Raw genomic sequence first — 18,147 nt, 5'->3', positions numbered from 1 at the left:
TCCCATGTCTAGAAAAATCTTCCAGCTGAGAGTCACAGAGCAGCTGAGAAAATTTAAATAAACATGGGGCTCTTTTTGCAATCTTTGGTGCTTGCTCATGTGAGGATGTGTATTGGAGAATCAATATTGGAGAATCAGAATATTAAAACATCAAAGGGTATCACTTTTGTACAGTTTCTCTTGACTGATTTTCATGTGAAGAAAGAAAGGACCAGAGCCAAGAAGATGATGGGACAGAGGAGTGAGTGTACAAGGGTTACGCATCTGCAATCAGATTTCTCCCAATATTTCATTGCTGCTGATTCTTTGGAGGCTCTTTTTTCCAATGCTCTCTCCTTTTCCTTCCTGAGAAATTTATTTCTGTCTCTGGCATCAGTCTAGCCCCCTGAGGAGGATCAAGCCAGGAAAGCTGTCCACACCATCTGCCTTTTCTGAGGGTTTCTGTCTTCCTCTATTACACCACCAGCACTCTCACTTCTCCTTTGGCCTTCCCCTTTTTCTGGTTCATTATGCATTCGGGAAAGTTGTGTTTTTGTCTTGCCATTGAGTGGGAGTTCCCTCTGTGTGATCAAGTGTTACCATGTAGTTTTGGACTTTGGCCACTTCCAAATTCCCCACCTACTTCTATGCAGAGGTTGTGATTTCCTTTTTCTCTCTAATTCATTTATATTTGTGCTTGACTGTAGCAGGCTGTAGTGAGTGGTGCTGTAGCCTATGTTGGGGTCACCTGTGGTTAGCTCTGGCTAAGCCCACAGCTTCCTTAGCCTCTCTGCCTGCAGATATTCTAGGGAGTGGGCCCTGGGAAATGAATGACTCAGGAGTAACTTTCAATTCATGAGGAAAAATGTCCCACAATCCTTGCTCTTGGTGTAAGAATCTGGGTGTGTTTTACACAGTGTCTGTGGGTCCCTGGTGGGACTGAGCCCTACTTGCCCCATTGGTAATATGCTCTTCAATGCACTTATTCACTGGCATCATCTCCATCTCCTCCGTGTTTTCCATTCCTACTCCTTCCCTCTGTTTCCTGGGATCACTTCCCAAATAAACTACTTCTACAGGAAAGCTTGCAGGGTCTGCTTATAAAGGAAACCAAATAAACCCAAGAACTAACTAAAACCTTGTTTATCCTCTTGCCCTCGGTAGCTGCAGCTTTATTTGAACCCCTGGCCGCCAGGACTGGAAAACACCCAACTGTCTAGTTTACCTCCTGCCCACCCCAGCCCCAATTTATGGCTGGATTCACTCCATTACATGTTGCTCCATTTCTAAAGTTTGTATTTTCCAGTCATGAACTAGTCTAGTGATTGCGAGCTCTATACACCAAGACCTAATTTCTGGTATGAAAGTATCTCCTAGCTGGAGATGGCTTCTGAGTAAGGAGGAGGGCTGAGAAAAGCAGCTTTGGATGGGGATAATGAACAGGCTAGAGTTGGTGTTTAAAATCCAAGTGGCCACTTCCAAAGATAGGCACCTTCCTTTCATAATTGTTCTGTTGGATGGAAAGCCTGAAATGGCTTCTGCTCATTCAGGTGTTGCTGATGACGAAGTAACATGGCCCAGCGCTGCTACCTAGTGATCTCTGCTGGTGCTCACTCAGATGGGGCTGAGAGAAGACTTTGTGACCTATGTGAGATAATTTTAGGTGTTAGACAGATGAACATATTTGGTGTTAATGTACTTCATCATCACCCCTTGTTTTTGGCAAGTGGTAGTGGATTGCCTTCATACTCATGAAAGAAAGTTTCTTTTTTTAAAAAAAAAAATAATATATTTATTTAAATAAAGGAAAAAGTCAACTAGTACTTGGATACCACAAAACATTGTGAGGTACTGAAATTTGGGAAACAGCATCAAAGAGTGCTTATGCAGGGAGCATGAATTTGCTTTGTCCTTCTTGCTAATGTCAACCATTGTTTATGACCTTTAAATTCTTGTTTCACACAAGGTGGGGATTTTCTTATGATTTAAAAAGATATTTTTGGAAACCAAAGCATATTCCTGACAAGCCTGTGTAAGCAAGACTTTTTAAGCTGGGTCAACTGATTGCTTGACTAAATGAGGAGCATAAAAATAGACTTTCAGACTTAGATTGAAATTCCAGATATTTGCTTCTGGAGGCTGCTACTGCTAACCCATGCCCAGCTGCACATAGGCAGGCTTGGCTCAGCTGATGGGTGGTGGTGATTATTGATTGCTTAAGAACTGAGCTATAAATGAAGGAACTGAAAGCTCAGCACCTCACCCCCAGTGCCTTCTTGGCTGTTTGGGCTGACCTGCCACTCCAGGCAGGAACTCTCATTTACAGGAACATATTTATTTTTACATATCAATGATGTATTTTTGATGTACTTGATTAAGTAATATGGGTTCAGCCCCAGGAAACACTATTCCAGTTTATAAATAGTGAGTTCAGGAGTATATAATATTTCTGACATTAGAGCAGTATTTTTGTTTTTATGTGTCTCTGTACCTTTACTTTTTAAAAGACCACTCTGACCCAAATACATTCTGCTTTTGTTTCCAAAACACATATTTGTATGAATTTCTAGAACCATCTGCTGTGTTCTTTTCTCAACCACCTAACTGTACACATTAATCCCAGATAACAAGTATTCATTATATTCCAGATTAAAAACCTAAGTCCCCCATTAGAAGCCCAACCTTTGAGGTCCATGTTACTTTAAGGCAGCCTCACCTTACTACTTGGAATGAGGCTTTATTATTTGACAACAATACAGCCTCACAGAGATTTCAGCATTCATCATATCATTTATTCAGGCTCCTGAGAGATTCCACTAAACCCGACGAAGCAGCTTTTTATCTTTGGTTGACTTCTTCTCTCTCCACTACCTTTACAAATCTCAGCAGAAATGTAGATCTCAGCCCTTTTCAACAAACCGAATAGCCATCAGAAGGGCCAGCAATACTTCCCTCTCACCATTCCTCTCCATGTCTCCAAAAATGGCCAGACAGTGAGAGCTTGGACACCAACCGGTTAGGGCACACGAGCGACCACTTCCAGAAAGGAGGCAGGCTGGTGAATGCAGTGTTCTGCCTTGGAATGGTGAATGGTATGGAATTCACTGTCCTTGGGTGGCCCTTTGTGAACTCTGCTCCTAACTATTGAAATCTTAGTCCCTCTTCATAGCCTATTTCATTGAGAAAACACTGCAGCCAATAACCATGCTGAATTTTATTTCTAATTAACACATCTTGAGGAACTTTCCATAAAGCCCAGGGCCTGTAGTCTCTAAACCTCTCTAGCAGTCAACCAGGTATCTTCTGAAATGACAGAGAAAGCGGAATGATTCTATATCATTGATGGTGGCCTCAGTCTCTGTTGCTTTTAAAGCCTTTTAAAAAGATTGTCCCCTGGATTTGTTAATTACCTGTTGGAAGTGTGCCATTCCAAAGTGCAAATTGTTTGTAGACACTATTACAGTTTGAAGTAGCAGTGGCAGCACCTTGAAATTAGCAGCAGAGAAATAAGTTGAACAGACTGGTTTCTGTAAGCTCCACTGAGACACTCACTGTTCCCAGGTCTCCCAGCACCCAGTACCCCCTCCCCAGTAATGTATTGTCTCTAGTGGTTTGCTGCATGGAATAGCACTATTAATGTCAGCTCTCCTAAGGCAGAAGGTCTATGTATAGTTGGAAAATGTGTAAAACAAAGAAAGGGCTTTAGGTTAATGGGAAGGCAAGTTGAGTCACCAGGGTGTGTCAAATCTAAGAGGCAATTTGGGGAATGGGACCAATGTGCAAACACGTACATATCCTGAGGGCTGCCAGTCATAGGATCCCTAAGTGAAACATAACACCAAATTTATCAATCCCAGCAAAACCTGGCAGGGAGCATAAACAGTATTGTGTGTTGTTGTTGAGCCATTTTCTCTCAAGAATTAGCAAAGTCATGAACAGAGTTTGGATTCTACATTGTTTGCAATCCTTGAAATGCCAGCAAGCATCCTGAGAATAGAGACCATTCTGAATTCTAAATGAATGTACTTTAAATCATCCAAAGCCTTAGAACATGATACAGCACAGACAGGTCTTAATTTTGGATGAAAGTCTCACCATTGTCTAATATTGACATCTTACCATAGTAGCAGCAGGCGTTGTATAGTGTATTGGTCCATAACCATTTGTTGAATGCATGAGTGACACAAGAAAGTGATTGGCTTGTTACAAATACATTCAGAGAGCTATCCAGAGCAGGGCTGTCCAATAGAAGTGCCTGTGATGATGGAGGTGTTTGTTCTGTATCTGGGTTGTCCGGTATGGCGGCCACCAGCTGACTATGGCTACTGAGCACTTGAAATGTGGATACTGCTACTGAGGAATTGAATTTTAAAATTAATTTAACTTTCATTAACTTAAGTTTAAATAACCGTATGTGGCTAGTGGCTAGTGTCTCTGGTCAGTGGCAGATGTCCATGGGACATCTTTAAAAAACTTTTATTGCAGTTTAGCACACATGTAAAAAATAGTACAGATCACAAGGATATATACCTCAGTGGCTTTTCACAAAGTGAGCACACACATCACCAGCACATAGATCAAGAAATAGAACATATCAAAACCCTAGAAGCCCCTGCATGCCCCACACTGTTTCTCTTCCCCTGGGGTAATCACAGTCTCTACTTGAAACACTATGGATGAGTTTTGAACTTTATACAAAACTTTATACAAATTTTATACACTTGTCATTGTGGGATTCTTCCACATTTTTACATGTAATTGCACTGTTTCTATCCCCCTGGGGTAATCACAGTCCCTACTTGAAACACCATTGATGAGTTTTGAACTGTATACAAACTTTATACACACACTTGTTGTTGTGGGGTTCGTCTACATTTTTACATGTAATTGCAGACCATTTTCTTTCATCACTGTATGCTAACCCATTGTGTCAAAATACACAGCTATATGCATAAGTCAGCCATTTACAATCATATTTTTATTCTTTTTTTTTTCTGCCCTATATAGGAGAGCATGGCATCTGCACAGATGTGGCCCCAAACAGAAGTCCTAAGTCTCATTGTGACCCGACTAAAATCTTATCCTAACCACCAAGGCAGAGAGAATATGGTGCATTGGTCAGAAAACACCAGCTCTGCAAGTGTAGAAACTTAGCCTGTTTAGCACCTACCCCCAGTTCCTCAAACAGGGTCTGCCTCATCATAGCAGTAGCTCAATAAATGTCTGTTGTTGAAAGGGGGTAAGTTTTAGTGTCAAACAAATCATATTTCATATCTGATTTGGCCTTTGTATTCCATATGAACATGGACAAATCATGTAACTCAGATGTCTATCCACTAAAAGGGAATGATGACTCTTACAGAATTTGGGGGAGGATTCAATGAAAAGCCTTGAACTGCACCTGGCAGAGTGCCTCACATCCATCAACCAATGAATCAGAATGTTTCTTCCCTATCTGTTCATTTAATTGGCACTGCAACTTGCAAGCTAATCTTTTTCTAGCTAAAGAGGAGTAATAGCTTTTCTAGATGACTCATTGCATCAAACTAAGAATGTAGGACGGTAGCCAGGCCTAGAGCAGCAGAGAGTGTTCAAGAAACAAGAAACGGCAGCAGCCTTGCTTATTCTTTGGTAAATAGAGCAAATTAGCTTCAGTGTGATTGTGGAGCAACATGGCACCTTTATCTGGAATTGGTTGAACAGTGATTATATTTGCCGTGGGATCACATGCCATTGACCACATGTGCAATTGCACTTATGCACTTGGCCAGTGCCAATCTTGGAATCAAGGTGGTGCCAAGAGGACTGTGCAGCCTCTGATGGAGAGAAGGCACTCTCAGAGAGCCAAGAGCATCTGTTAGGCCAGCTATTCCAGCGTAGTCAATCTAGTCCAGTCTAGTTTGTTTAAAGGACAACAGTAATATTTTGTTTTTAACCCTGCAAAAATAGACCAAATGCATTGACCGCTTGTCATGGCATGCACATTCAGGCTAGACTTTGGCGAAGCACAGCAGCCTAGGGCTGAGCCTGAAGGTTTGCTTGATAGACAGTCTTAGTATCTCAGAGTCCGCAGGAGAAGAATGGTTGCCTCATAGAATTTACCTCTTGAAATACTATGACAAATCTCCTTTCCCACATCCTTCTTGTAAATCATAAGCTTGGAATATTTAGGTGGCCTTTTGCCAAAAGGCCAGCATCAAATATTTATACAGTATGAAGGCAAATAGCTTTTTGTGGACAGTAGGGAAGCATCTTGGCTTTCATAAAAAATGCTGTGATAATGGAATGTTTTCCATAGATGGAGGGTGGTTTACCCTTTTTACATCAGAGCATTAACTCTAAGATAGACCTATTTATGCCCAAGTCAGTGCACATTACAGTGAGGCTGAGCCATGAAGGTAATGAGGAGACAAGCAGTGACAAGGCCATCAAAACAAGTGAATCTTTAAAAGCCTAGCTATCTGCTCTCTGTAGTTCATTGATTTTTTTGCTGTTAGGTGACCAGATTTTGACAGCCATTCTGAACTTCAGCCTCATGGTTAAGTAGGTGAATCAGTGCTCTGGATTCAGAATACTGGCACATTATGCTGAGGTGGGGAGGCTGGGAAGCAGGCAGTGGATGAGGTGGGTGGTGAATAACGATCCGTGTGTGTTCCTCCTTCATACCACCAAGCTAGCTGTAGCTTTCCCTGCTGACTACACAGCCCCTCTCCCAGGCCTGTGACTTAGGAGGAAGGAGAGGAAGCTCAGCAGGGAATGGAGAAAAAGTCTGGATGGGATTCAGAATACTGGAGCATTATGCTGAGGTGGGGAGGCTGGGAGGCAGGCAGTGGTTGAGGTGGGTGGAAAATAAGGATCTCTGTGTGTTCCTTCTTCATACCCCCAAGCTAGCCATAGCTTTTCCTGCTGACTGCACAACCTGCTTCCCAGGCCTGTGACTCAGGGGGAAAGAAAGGAAGCCTGTCAGGGGAAAGAGAAGAAGTCTGGATGGGCTGTGAGTGTCCCCTTCCCTCTTCTGGACCTCAGTTCTGCCATGCTCACCATGGTCAGGCTAAACATCACCATATAATTTGTGTTGAATTAGGCCCATAAGTACTTAAAGCACATGGCAGGCACATTTAAAGGGCCTGGAGGTTTTCCACTGAGAATATATGTAGGTAGAGGCTTTGGAAATTTGATGTAACATATTTTGGTAGAAGTCTTGAGGAAATGTGTGCCATCTTGATATAACCCTGAGGGGCTCATTGAGTGTCTTCTGGTCTCAAGCATGCTTAGGTCAGGATTTGGGAGGGCTATACTCAAAAAGGTCTCTTACGGCATCCCTACTGTGATGGGGCTCCAGATGGACTCCTGGAATATTACTCAGAAGTTAAAAAGTGAGCTGGATTGTGGTTCATGCTTGCCTTCAACCCCAAAATACTTTTGACGTGATTTAGCTGTACAGCAGCTGTTTTTCCCTGATCACCTATGAAATATGTCTTTTTAGGAGGCCATGGAATAAGCACTTGGGACAAATTTTTCGGCAAAACAGATGAGAGAAGCAAACTTAGAACCTGCCAAGGCTATTTGATAACAGACTGTCAGTATAGTAAACAAGAAACTGGAGCATGTTATTGGTTTACCCATAGTTATCTTACTTGAAATGTAGAATTATCTTACATTCGGATAATATTAGGATAAGGCTCCTGTGCTTGTTACTCTTACAATCATGGTTTGTTGAACTGGTTAGGCCACACTGTTATTCTCAATAAGGACCCAGGCTAAGCAAATTACAGTGGTCTTGTTTTTTAGGTCTAGGTTGAGCATTGTGTCTATCAGCTATTGCTCCAATAATGCTGAGTAACAAACCACTTCAGAACTGATTGGCTTACAAAGGTAACAATTTATTCTGGCAGATTTGGGGGTTGGCTGGAGCAGCTCTGTTGAGGCAGACCTGGTCTCAGCTGGGCTCCACTGGGGCAGCTCTGATCCATTTGTCTTTCATCCCTCTAGAACCAACTGGCTAGCTGGGGCATGCCCTCTCAACATAATAGCAAAGTCAAAAGAGGCCAAGCTCAACCACACACATGCTTTTTAGGCCTCTGTTTGCATTACACCTGATAATATCCCATTGGCCAAACAAGTCAGATGAACAGAGCCCTAAGTCGCTGACCTCCCCAATACTCAGTTTAGTCTTAATCACCTTCTTTCCTGATTCTGCTGCTCACCTGATCCTTGTCTGTCCCTCATTCACTATGCATGTCAGGCTGTCTGTCCCTTCCTCCTGGAACTCTCAAACCTCAGATCCGTATCCCTTGCTTGCTTAGTTCACTGAAATTGGGGAGCCCTACACTGATGCATCTTTCAAAAATAGCTACCACCACTGTGTCCACCTTCACACTCTCCCCTTGGCCCACTTGGCATTTTATAGCATTTATCACATCTGACATTATGTTACTTTCTTCCTCCTCCACTGCAAGGTAAGCTTAATGGGTGGTGGGGACTTTGTCTTACTGCTTGTGAGGCCTCTAGTGACTTACAAGAGTACTTGGTACATAATAGGTTCCCAGCAGGTATCATAATGAACGGCTGGAAGTTTATTCAGAGTAAACTTGAACTCCAGTAACATGTCACTCATGCTTCTGAGGCCCTATCTTACATTTTTAGACTCCTCTAAGGAAAGTTTTTCCATTAAGATTATACTAAAATTGTCTCCCCATAGTTTTAAAAAACTATTTGATTCTAGTTATGCCTTCAAGAACCTTGGAGAGGAGAGAAAAAAGGAAATTCTTTGTCATCTGTGTTGTCCATTTACTTCTGTTACACCCATTCTAACTTGTTAATAACATCACAGAAAAGGATATAAAAGAAAACTCAAATTGTGTGTAATTCCACCACTTATAACTGCTGCTAGTATTTTGTGTATTTCCTTAAGGTTTGTCTAAACCGTTTTAACATAAAAATCTATATTGAGCTCATATGGCAGTTTCATATCATAGTTTTTTTCTCCATAATATTATATCAAAAGTATTTTTCTGAATCACTAAATTCCCATGATATTTTTAGGGGCAGCCTGGTATTAATTGTACAGAAATCTCTAAATTTAACTGTTTTTCTGTGGTTAAATATTTGGATTGTTGAACATTAAGTTTTTAAGCAATTTTATAAGTAAGGCTTGTAGATGGATATTTGATAGCATTGGAGGTTATTACCTCAGGACAGAAAAGAAAGGTAAGTTTTCTGGGTGAAAGAGGGTAGACTTTTTGTGGCAAGCTACTGCAAGATTGTTAAATTGCTTTCTAGAAAGTTTGTACAGTTAAAATTCCCTTAAGCACTGTAAACTTTCCCATATCACTGTACCTTTACCAGCAGTGACAATTTTGTTTTCAAAATTTGTCAACTTGCTAAATAAAAAAGAAGTTGAGGACTGGAGCAGTGGCTCATGGCTGTAATCCCAGCACACTGGGAGACCAAGGATCACTTGAGTCCAGCAGTCCAAGACTAGCCTGAGCAACATAGTGACCCCCATCTCTACAAATAATAAAAAATTAGCTAGGGGTGGTGGCATGTGCCTGTGTTCCCAGCTACTCGGGAGTCTGTATGGGGGTGATCACTTGAGCCCAGGAGTTTGAGGCTGCAGTGAGCCATTATTGTGCCATGGCACTACAATCTAAGAAACAGAGTGAGATCCCCATCTCTAACAAACAAATAAAAAAAAAGATGGCAATTTTTTTTCAATGTTTGTTGGCCATGGAAAGAGAAAGAGAAATAATTAATTCCTAGTTTAAGTCCTTTGTTTCTAATGGTGTTTTAGTATTTTTAACTATGTGTAAAACTTTTCATATATAAATATATTAAGCTTGGCCTTTATTTTTGTTATTGTTGTTGCAAATAATTTTCTCATGTTGATGACCTTTTGCTTATGGAGTCTTTTGGGAGACAAAAGCGAAAAATTGTTATATGTTCACATTTGTCAGTCTTTTTCTTTATGACTTCTAGATACTGGCAGTTCCAGGAACTCCAACATGATTCAGAAGACTTTCTGAATTTGTCTCACTTCCCTCTCTGTGGAAAAAAAAAAAAAAAGGTCACATTATTATGGATTTGTTCTATTGAAAATTGTCCCTTTAGAAAAGCATGTCATTGAAATGTGCTTTGTATGTGTGTTAGTTTGCTAGGACTGTCATAACAAAATACCACACACTGGGTGGCTTAAACAACAGACATTTATTTTCTCTCAGTTCTGGAGGCTAGACGTCCATAGTCAATGTTCTGGCAACTTCAGTTTCCGGCTAGGGCTCTCTTCCTGGCTTGCAGACAGCCACATTCCTGCTGTTTCCTCATGTGGCTTTTCATCTTTACACACTCCAGGAGAGGGAGAGAGAGGGCTCTGATTTCTCTTCCTCTTATAATAAGGACACCAGTCCTATTAGACTAAGGCCCCATCCCACACTAATTTAAAGGAGAACTAGGACTTCATTTAACCTTAATTACCTTCCTAAAGGTTCTGTCTCCAAATATAGTCACATTGGGGGTTAGGGCTTTACCATATGAATTTTGGAAGGACACAATTGAGTCCATAATGTTATGATTGAGCATTGTTTATAGCATAGAATCTGGGAACCAAGAGACATTGTCTGTCCATCATCCCATTTTACAGATGAGAGACCAAGCCCTTGAAAGAGTCACATCACCTTTCATGGTAAAGCCTAGCCCCAAACCACTTGCTTCTAAGCCAGTCTTCTTTCCCCAAATCCCTTACCAAAGTGAACCTGGACCTTTAGGAGCCATGCACCAAACAAAGGGGCAAAAGGTGCTATCCTTAGTGTATTCTGCAGGGGCAGGGACTCTGTTCTGTATTTCTTTCTTTCCTTTTTCTTTTCTTTTTCTTTTTTTTTTTTTTGAGACAGAGTCTCGCTCTGTCACCCAGGCTGAAGTACAGTGGTGCAATCTCTGCTCACTGCAACCTCCGCCAACCCAGTTCAAGCAATTCTCCTGCCTCAGGCTCCCAAATAGCTGGAATAACAGGCACACCTGGACATGCCTGGCTATTTTTTTATATTTTAGTAGAGACAGGGTTTCACTGTTTTGCCCAGGCTGGTCTCAAATTCCTGAACTCAAGTAATCCACCTGCCTCGGCCTCCCAAACTGCTGGGATTACAGGCATGAGCCACTGAGCCTGGCCTGTTCTATATTTCTTTTTACCCTCATTTCCTAAGACAGTTCTTGATCATGCTATACATTTCATGTATACTTCTCAAATTGTACAAAGCTTGGGACCATTGACTAGAGCAATGCCCAGGGAAGCATTTCCAGTGGTAAAAGATTTGGGAAAATCCACCCTTCCCCAGATTCCACCTCTTGAAAAGAGCTACCTAAAATGTTGTCTGGACAGTGCCCTCATCATGAGAACTTCCAAGAATTAACACATCTAGAATGCATCTGACAAGCTCAGATCTGGTGTGTTGTGTCTCTTCCCTTTAATTAAAAAAAAAATTGTCACCTAAATAGTTTCTTCTAAAAACTGTCTCTAAATGACTGTGTTTTACCCTGGATAAGTTCTCACCAATGCATCCCGACACTGCAGCATTAAAAGGAAGATAAACACTTGAAATCAAATGGTGATGGCTAACAATGAAATTTGAGCTCACGAACTCAAGGATATTATTCAAAACTGTGAGAAAAATTAGCCTCATTCATTCTGATAGGGCTAGATAGGTTCTATGGCTGTGTGTGCCTTCTTTAATTAACATGCAGAAAAGATGTTCTGATTGGCATTATTAATGAATACAGTGGAAATGTTTGCTGCTTAGAAGACTTCTGCCACAGATGGTTTACAAACCCCACCCTGGCCTTTTTCTTTTTCCACAGATTTCTTACATGGCTTGACAGCTCGTAAGCCATCTTGAAGCTGTTTCCACAGAAGATAGCAAAAGCATACAGGGCTTCAATGCTATTTGGTTGAACAATGGACAGTCCTGGAACTAAGTGTGGGGTTGGCAGCCCTGCTTTTGTTTAGACAATTGTTGTATCCCCCTCCTCAATCTGACCTTCGGGTTGTTGCTCAGTTGTGGCTTTCTTCTGAGACGGAGTTGACCTGGTAGGTCCTAAACTCCCTTAGTCCTTTTATTCTCCTCTTTTCCCAGCCCCGCATAGGGGTTGGCCCTCCTCTTCCCTTTCTGTGGGAAAAACACCTTGCACGTACCTAGCCATTTGGTGGAAGGAGAGTTGTCTTTCATTAATTTGCATATAACTGACAGTTCTAAGTGATATAAATGAGGCCACATAATTTATGGCCTCTGTAATAATCAGAGCAGCATCGTTATCGGAGCCAGACCCTGTGGCTCTCTCTGCCAGCTATCTTCAGACTTATGCACATGAGCTCACTTAATCTTCACAGTAAGGCTTTTAAGTAAATATTCTTACTGCCTCTGTTTTTTAGATGAGGAAAATGAGGCACAGAGAGGTTAGCTCCCTGGTCCAAGATTGCACGTTAAGTGCTGAAGAATGTATTTGAGAAATGTTGACTCATGATGCCACCAAATTGCTGTGGGCAGGGGAATTTCTCAAACCATGTTCTGCTGGGCTTTGGAGGAGCTAATTTACTTCTAAGATTCACTAGTTTATACCTGAAGGGCAGTTTTCTAACTATGGAAGCATGGACTGAAGGGGGCTAGCACCTCCACAACCTGTGGGTGTTTCTTGTCAGGTGGGTCGAGAGACTGAGAAAAGAAATAAGAGACAGAGACAAAGTATAAAGAAAGAAAAGTGGGTCCAGGGGACCGGTGCTCAGCATAAGGAGGACCCGCACAGGCACTGGTCTCTGAGTTCCCTCAGTATTTATTGATCACTGTCTCTACCATCTCGGAAAGGGGGATCTGGCAGGACAATAGGGTAATAGTGGGGACAGGGTCAGAAGGAAAACATGTGAACAAAGGTCTCTGTGTCATAAATAAGTTTGAGGAAATGTGCTGTGCCTTGATGTGCACACACACAAACATCTCAGTGCAATAAAGAGCAGTATTGCTGCCAGCATGTCTCACCTCCATCACTAAGGTGGTTTTCTCCTACCTCAGTAAACAGAACATACAATCAGGTTTTACACTGAGACATTTTATTCCAAGGGATGAGCAGGAGACAGATGCCTTCCTCTTGTCTCAACTGCAAAGAAGCCTTCCTCTTTTACTAACGCTCCTCAGCACAGAGCCTTTACAGGTGTCGGGCTAGGGGATGGTCAGGTCTTTCCCTTCCCATGAGGCCATATCTCAGGCTGTCACATGGGGAGAAGCCTTGGACAATACCTGACTTTCCTAGGGAGAGGTCCCTGTGGCCTTCCGCAGTGTATTGTGTCCCTGGTTACTTGAGATTAGAGAATGCCAATGACTTTTAACAAGCATACTGCCTTCAAGCACTTTTTTAACAAAGCGCATCCTGCACAGCCCTAAATCCATTAAATCTTGAGTTAACACAGCACATGTCTCTGCAAGCACAGGGTTGGGACTAGGGTTACAGATTAACAGCATGTCAAGGCAGAAGAATTTTTCTTAGTACAGAACAAAATGGAGTCTCTTATGTCTACTTCTTTCTACATAGACACAGTAACAGTCTGATCTCTCTTTCTTTTCTCCACAATGGACTTTTTGGCCTAGTCTCTTGTACACACAAGGGAGAAGCTATTTGGACATTGAAAAGTAATTTCTTGGGGTGGAGCCAAGATGGAAGAATAGCAACAGATCCAGTCTACAGCTCCCAGCATGAGTGATGCAGAAGACGAATGATTTCTGCATTTCCAACTGAGGTACTGGGTGCATCTCACTGGGGATTGTCAGACAGTGGGTGCAGGACAGTGGGTGCAGTGAACCCAGCCTGAGCTGAAGCAGGGTGAGGCATCACCTCACCCAGGAAGTGCAAGGGGTTGGGGAATTCCCTTTCCTAGCCAAGGAAAGGGGTGATGGACGGCACCTGGAAAATTGGGTCACTCCCACCCTAATACTGCACTTTTCTGACAGTCTTAGTAAATGGCACACCAGGAGATTATATCCCATGCACGGCTTGGAGGGTGCTACACCCACGGAGCCTCAGTCATTGCTAGCACAGCAGTCTGAGATCGAACTGCAAGGTGGCAGTGAGGCAGTGGGGAGGGGCGCCTGCCATTGCTGAGGCTTGAGTAGGTAAACAAAGTGGCTGGGAAGCTCAAACTGGGTGGAGCCCACCACAGCTCAAGAAGGCCTGTCTCCCTCTGTAGACTCCACCTCTGGGGGCAGGGCATAGCCAAACAAAAGACAGCAGAAACCTCTGCAGACTTAAATGTCCCTGCCTGACAGCTTTGAAGAAAGTATTGGTTCTTCCAGCACACAGCTTGAGATCTGAGAACAGACAGACTGCCTCCTCAAGTGGTTCCCTGACCCCAAGTAGCCTAACTGGGAGGCACCCCCAGTGGGGGCAGACTGACACCTCACATGGCTGGGTACTCCTCTGAGACAAAACTTCCAGAGGAACGATCAGGCAGCAACATTTGCTGTTCACCAACATCCACTGTTCTCCAGCCTACACTGCTGATACCCAGGTAAACAGGGTTTGGAATGGACCTACGACAAACTCCAACAGACCTGCAGCTGCGGGTCCTGACTGTTAGAAGGAAAACTAACAGAAGGGACATCCACACCAAAACCCCATCTGTACGTCACTATCATCAAAGACCAAAGGTAGATAAAACCACAAAGATGGGAAAAAAAGAGTAGAACAACCGAAAAACCTAAAAATCGGAGCACCTCTCCTCCTCCAAAGGAATGCAGCTCCTCACCAACAATGGAACAAAGTTGGACAGAGAATGACTTTGATGAGTTGAGAGAAGAAGGCTTCAGATGATCAAGCTACTCTAAGCTAAAGGAGGAAGTTTGAAACCTCCATGGCAAAGAAGTTAAAAACCTTGAAAAAAGATTAGACGAATGGCTAACTAGAATAACCAATGCAGAGAAGTCCTTAAATGACCTGATGGAGCTGAAAACCATGGCACGAGAACTACTTGACAGATGCACAAGGTTCAGTAGCTGATTCGATCAACTGGAAGAAAGGGTATCAGTGATGGAATATCAAATGAATGAAATGAAGCAAGAAGAGAAGTTTAGAGGAAAAAGAATAAAAAGAAATGAACAAAGCCTCCAAGAAATATGGGACTATGTGAAAAGACTAAATCTGCATCTGATTGGTGTACCTGAAAGTGACAGGGAGAATGGAACCAAGTTAGAAAATACTCTGCAGGATATTATCCAGGAGAACTTCCCCAATCTAGCAAGGCAGGACTACATTCAAATTCAGGAAATACAGAGAATGCCACAAAGATACTCCTGAGAAGAGCAACTCCAAGACACATAGTTGTCAGATTCACCAAAGTTGAAATGAAGGAAAAAATATTAAGGGCAGCTAGAGAGAAAGGTCAGGTTACCCACAAAGGGAAGCCCATCAGACTAACAGCTGATCTCTCAGCATAAACTCTACAAGCCAGAAGAGAGTGGGGGCCAATATACAACATTCTTAAAGAAAAGTATTTTCAACCCAGAATTTCATATCCAGCCAAACTAAGCTTCATAAGTGAAGGAGAAATAAAACACTTTACAGAAAAGCAAATGCTGAGAGATTTTCTCACCACCAGACCTGCTCTAAAAGAGCTCCTGAAGGAAGCGCTAAACATGGAAAGGAACAACCAGTAACAGCCACTGCAAATACATGCCAAATTGTAGAGACCGTCATGGCTAGGAAGAAACCGCATCAACTAATGAGCAAAATAACCAGCTAATATCATAATGACAGGATCAAATTCACACATAACAATATTAACCTTAAATGTAAAGGGGCTAAATGCTCCAATTAAAAGACACAGACTGGCAAATTGGATAAAAAGTCAAGATCCATCAGTGTGCTGTCTTTAGGAAACCCATCTCACATGCAAAGATATACATAGGCTCAAAATAAAGGGATGGAGGAAGATCTACCAAGAAAATGGAAAATAAAAAAAAGGCAGGGGTTGCAATCCTAGTCTCTGATAAAACAGACTTTAAGCCAACAAAGATCAAAAGAGACAAAGAAGGCCATTACATAATGGTAAAGGGATCAATTCAACAAGAAGAGCTAACTACCCTAAATATATATGCACACAATACAGGAGCACCCAGATTCATAAAGCAAGTCCTTAGAGACCTACGAAGAAACTTAGACTCCCACACAATAATAATGGGAGACTTTAACACCCCACTCTCAACATTAGACAGATCAACAAGACAGAAAGTTAACAAGGATATCCAGGAATTGAACTCAGCTCTGCACCAGGCAGACCTAATAGACATCTGCAGAACTAACCAAACCAAATCAACAGAATATACATTCTTTTCAGCACCACACCACACCTATTCCAAAACTGACCACATTGTTGGAAGTAAAACACTCCTCAGAATATGTAACAGAACAGAAATTATAACAAACTGTCTCTCAGATGACAGTGCAATCAAACTAGAACTCAGGATTAAGAAACTCACTCAAAACCGCTCAACTACATGGAAACTGAACAACCTGTTCCTGAATGACTACTGGGTACATAACGAAACAAATACAGAAATAAAGATGTTCTTTGAAACCGACGAGAACAAACACACAACATACCAGAATGTCTGGGACACATTCAAAGCAGTGTGTACAGGGAAATTGATAGCACTAAATGCCGACAAGAGAAAGCAGGAAACATCTAAAATTGACACCCTAACATCACAATTAAAAGAACTAGAGAAGCAAGAGCAAACACATTCAAAAGCTAGCAGAAGGCAAGAAATAACTAAGATCAGAGCAGAATTGAAGGAAATATAGACACAAAACACCCTTCAAAAAATCAATGAATCCAGGAGTTTGTTTTTTGAAAAGATCAACAAAATTGGTAGACTGCTAGTAACACTAATTTAGAAGAAAAGAGAGAAGAAATCAAATATATGCAATACAAAATGATAAAGGGGATATCACCACCAATCCCACAGAAATACAAACTACCATCAGAGAATATTATAAACATCTCTATGCAAATAACTAGAAAATCTGGAAGAAATGGATAAATTCCTTGAAACATACACTTTCCCAAGATTAAACCAGGAAGAAGTTGAATCTCTGAAACTGGATCCCTTCCTTACACCTTATACTAAAATTAATTCAAGATGGATTAAAGATTTACATGTTAGACCTGAATCTCTGAATAGACCAATAACAGGCTCTGAAATTAAGGAAATAATTAATGGCTTACCAACCAAAAAAGTCCAGGACCAGATGGATGCAAAGCCAAATTCTACCAGAGGTACAAGTAGGAGCTGGTACCGTTCCTTCTGAAACTATTCCAGTCAATAGAAAAAGAGGGAATCCTCCCTAACTTACTTTATGAGGCCAGCATCATCCTGATACCCAAGCCTGGCAGAGACACAACAAAAAAAAAGAGAATTTTAGACCAATATCCCTGATGAACAGCGATGCAAAAATCCTCAGTAAAATACTGGCAAACCGAATCCAGCAGCACATCAAAAAGCTTATCCACCATGATCAAGTGGGCTTCATCCCTGCGATGCAAGGCCAGTTCAACATATGCAAATCAACAAATTTAATCCAGCATATAAACAGAACCAAAGACAAAAACCACATGATTATCTCAATAGATGCAGAAAAGGCCTTTGACGAAATTCAACAACCTTCATGCTAAAAACTCTCAATAAATTAGGTATTGATGGGATGTATCTCAAAATAATAAGACTTATTTATGACAAACCCACAGCCAATATCATACTGAATGGGCAAATACTGGTAGCATTACCTTTGAAAACTGGCACAAGACAGGGATGCCCTCTCTCACCACTCCTATTCAACATAGTGTTGGAAGTTCTGGCCAGGGCAATCAGGCAGGAGAAAGAAATAAAGGGTATTCAATTAGGAAAAGAGGAAGTCAAATTATCCCTGTTTGCAGATGACATGATTGTATATCTAGAAAACCCCATTGTCTCAGCCCAAAATCTCCTTAAGCTGATAGTCAACTTCAGCGAAGTCTCAGGATACAAAATCAACGTGCAAAAATCACAAGCATTCTTATACACCAATAACAGACAGAGAGCCAAATCAGGAGTGAACTCCCATTCACAATTGCTTCAAAGAGAATAAAATACCTAG

General features: G+C 41.8%; 1 pseudogene; it reads left to right on the top strand.

Annotated features, from left to right (window-relative positions):
* Positions 1–11,949, top strand: part of RFTN1P1 (raftlin, lipid raft linker 1 pseudogene 1) — a 63,733-nt pseudogene extending 51,784 nt beyond the window's left edge.

Source organism: Homo sapiens, chromosome Y (genome assembly GCF_000001405.40).
Source record: "Homo sapiens chromosome Y, GRCh38.p14 Primary Assembly".
NCBI lineage: Eukaryota > Metazoa > Chordata > Mammalia > Primates > Hominidae > Homo > Homo sapiens.
Note: the sequence above shows the minus strand (reverse complement) of the source record. Positions and strands in the feature narration are given on the sequence as shown.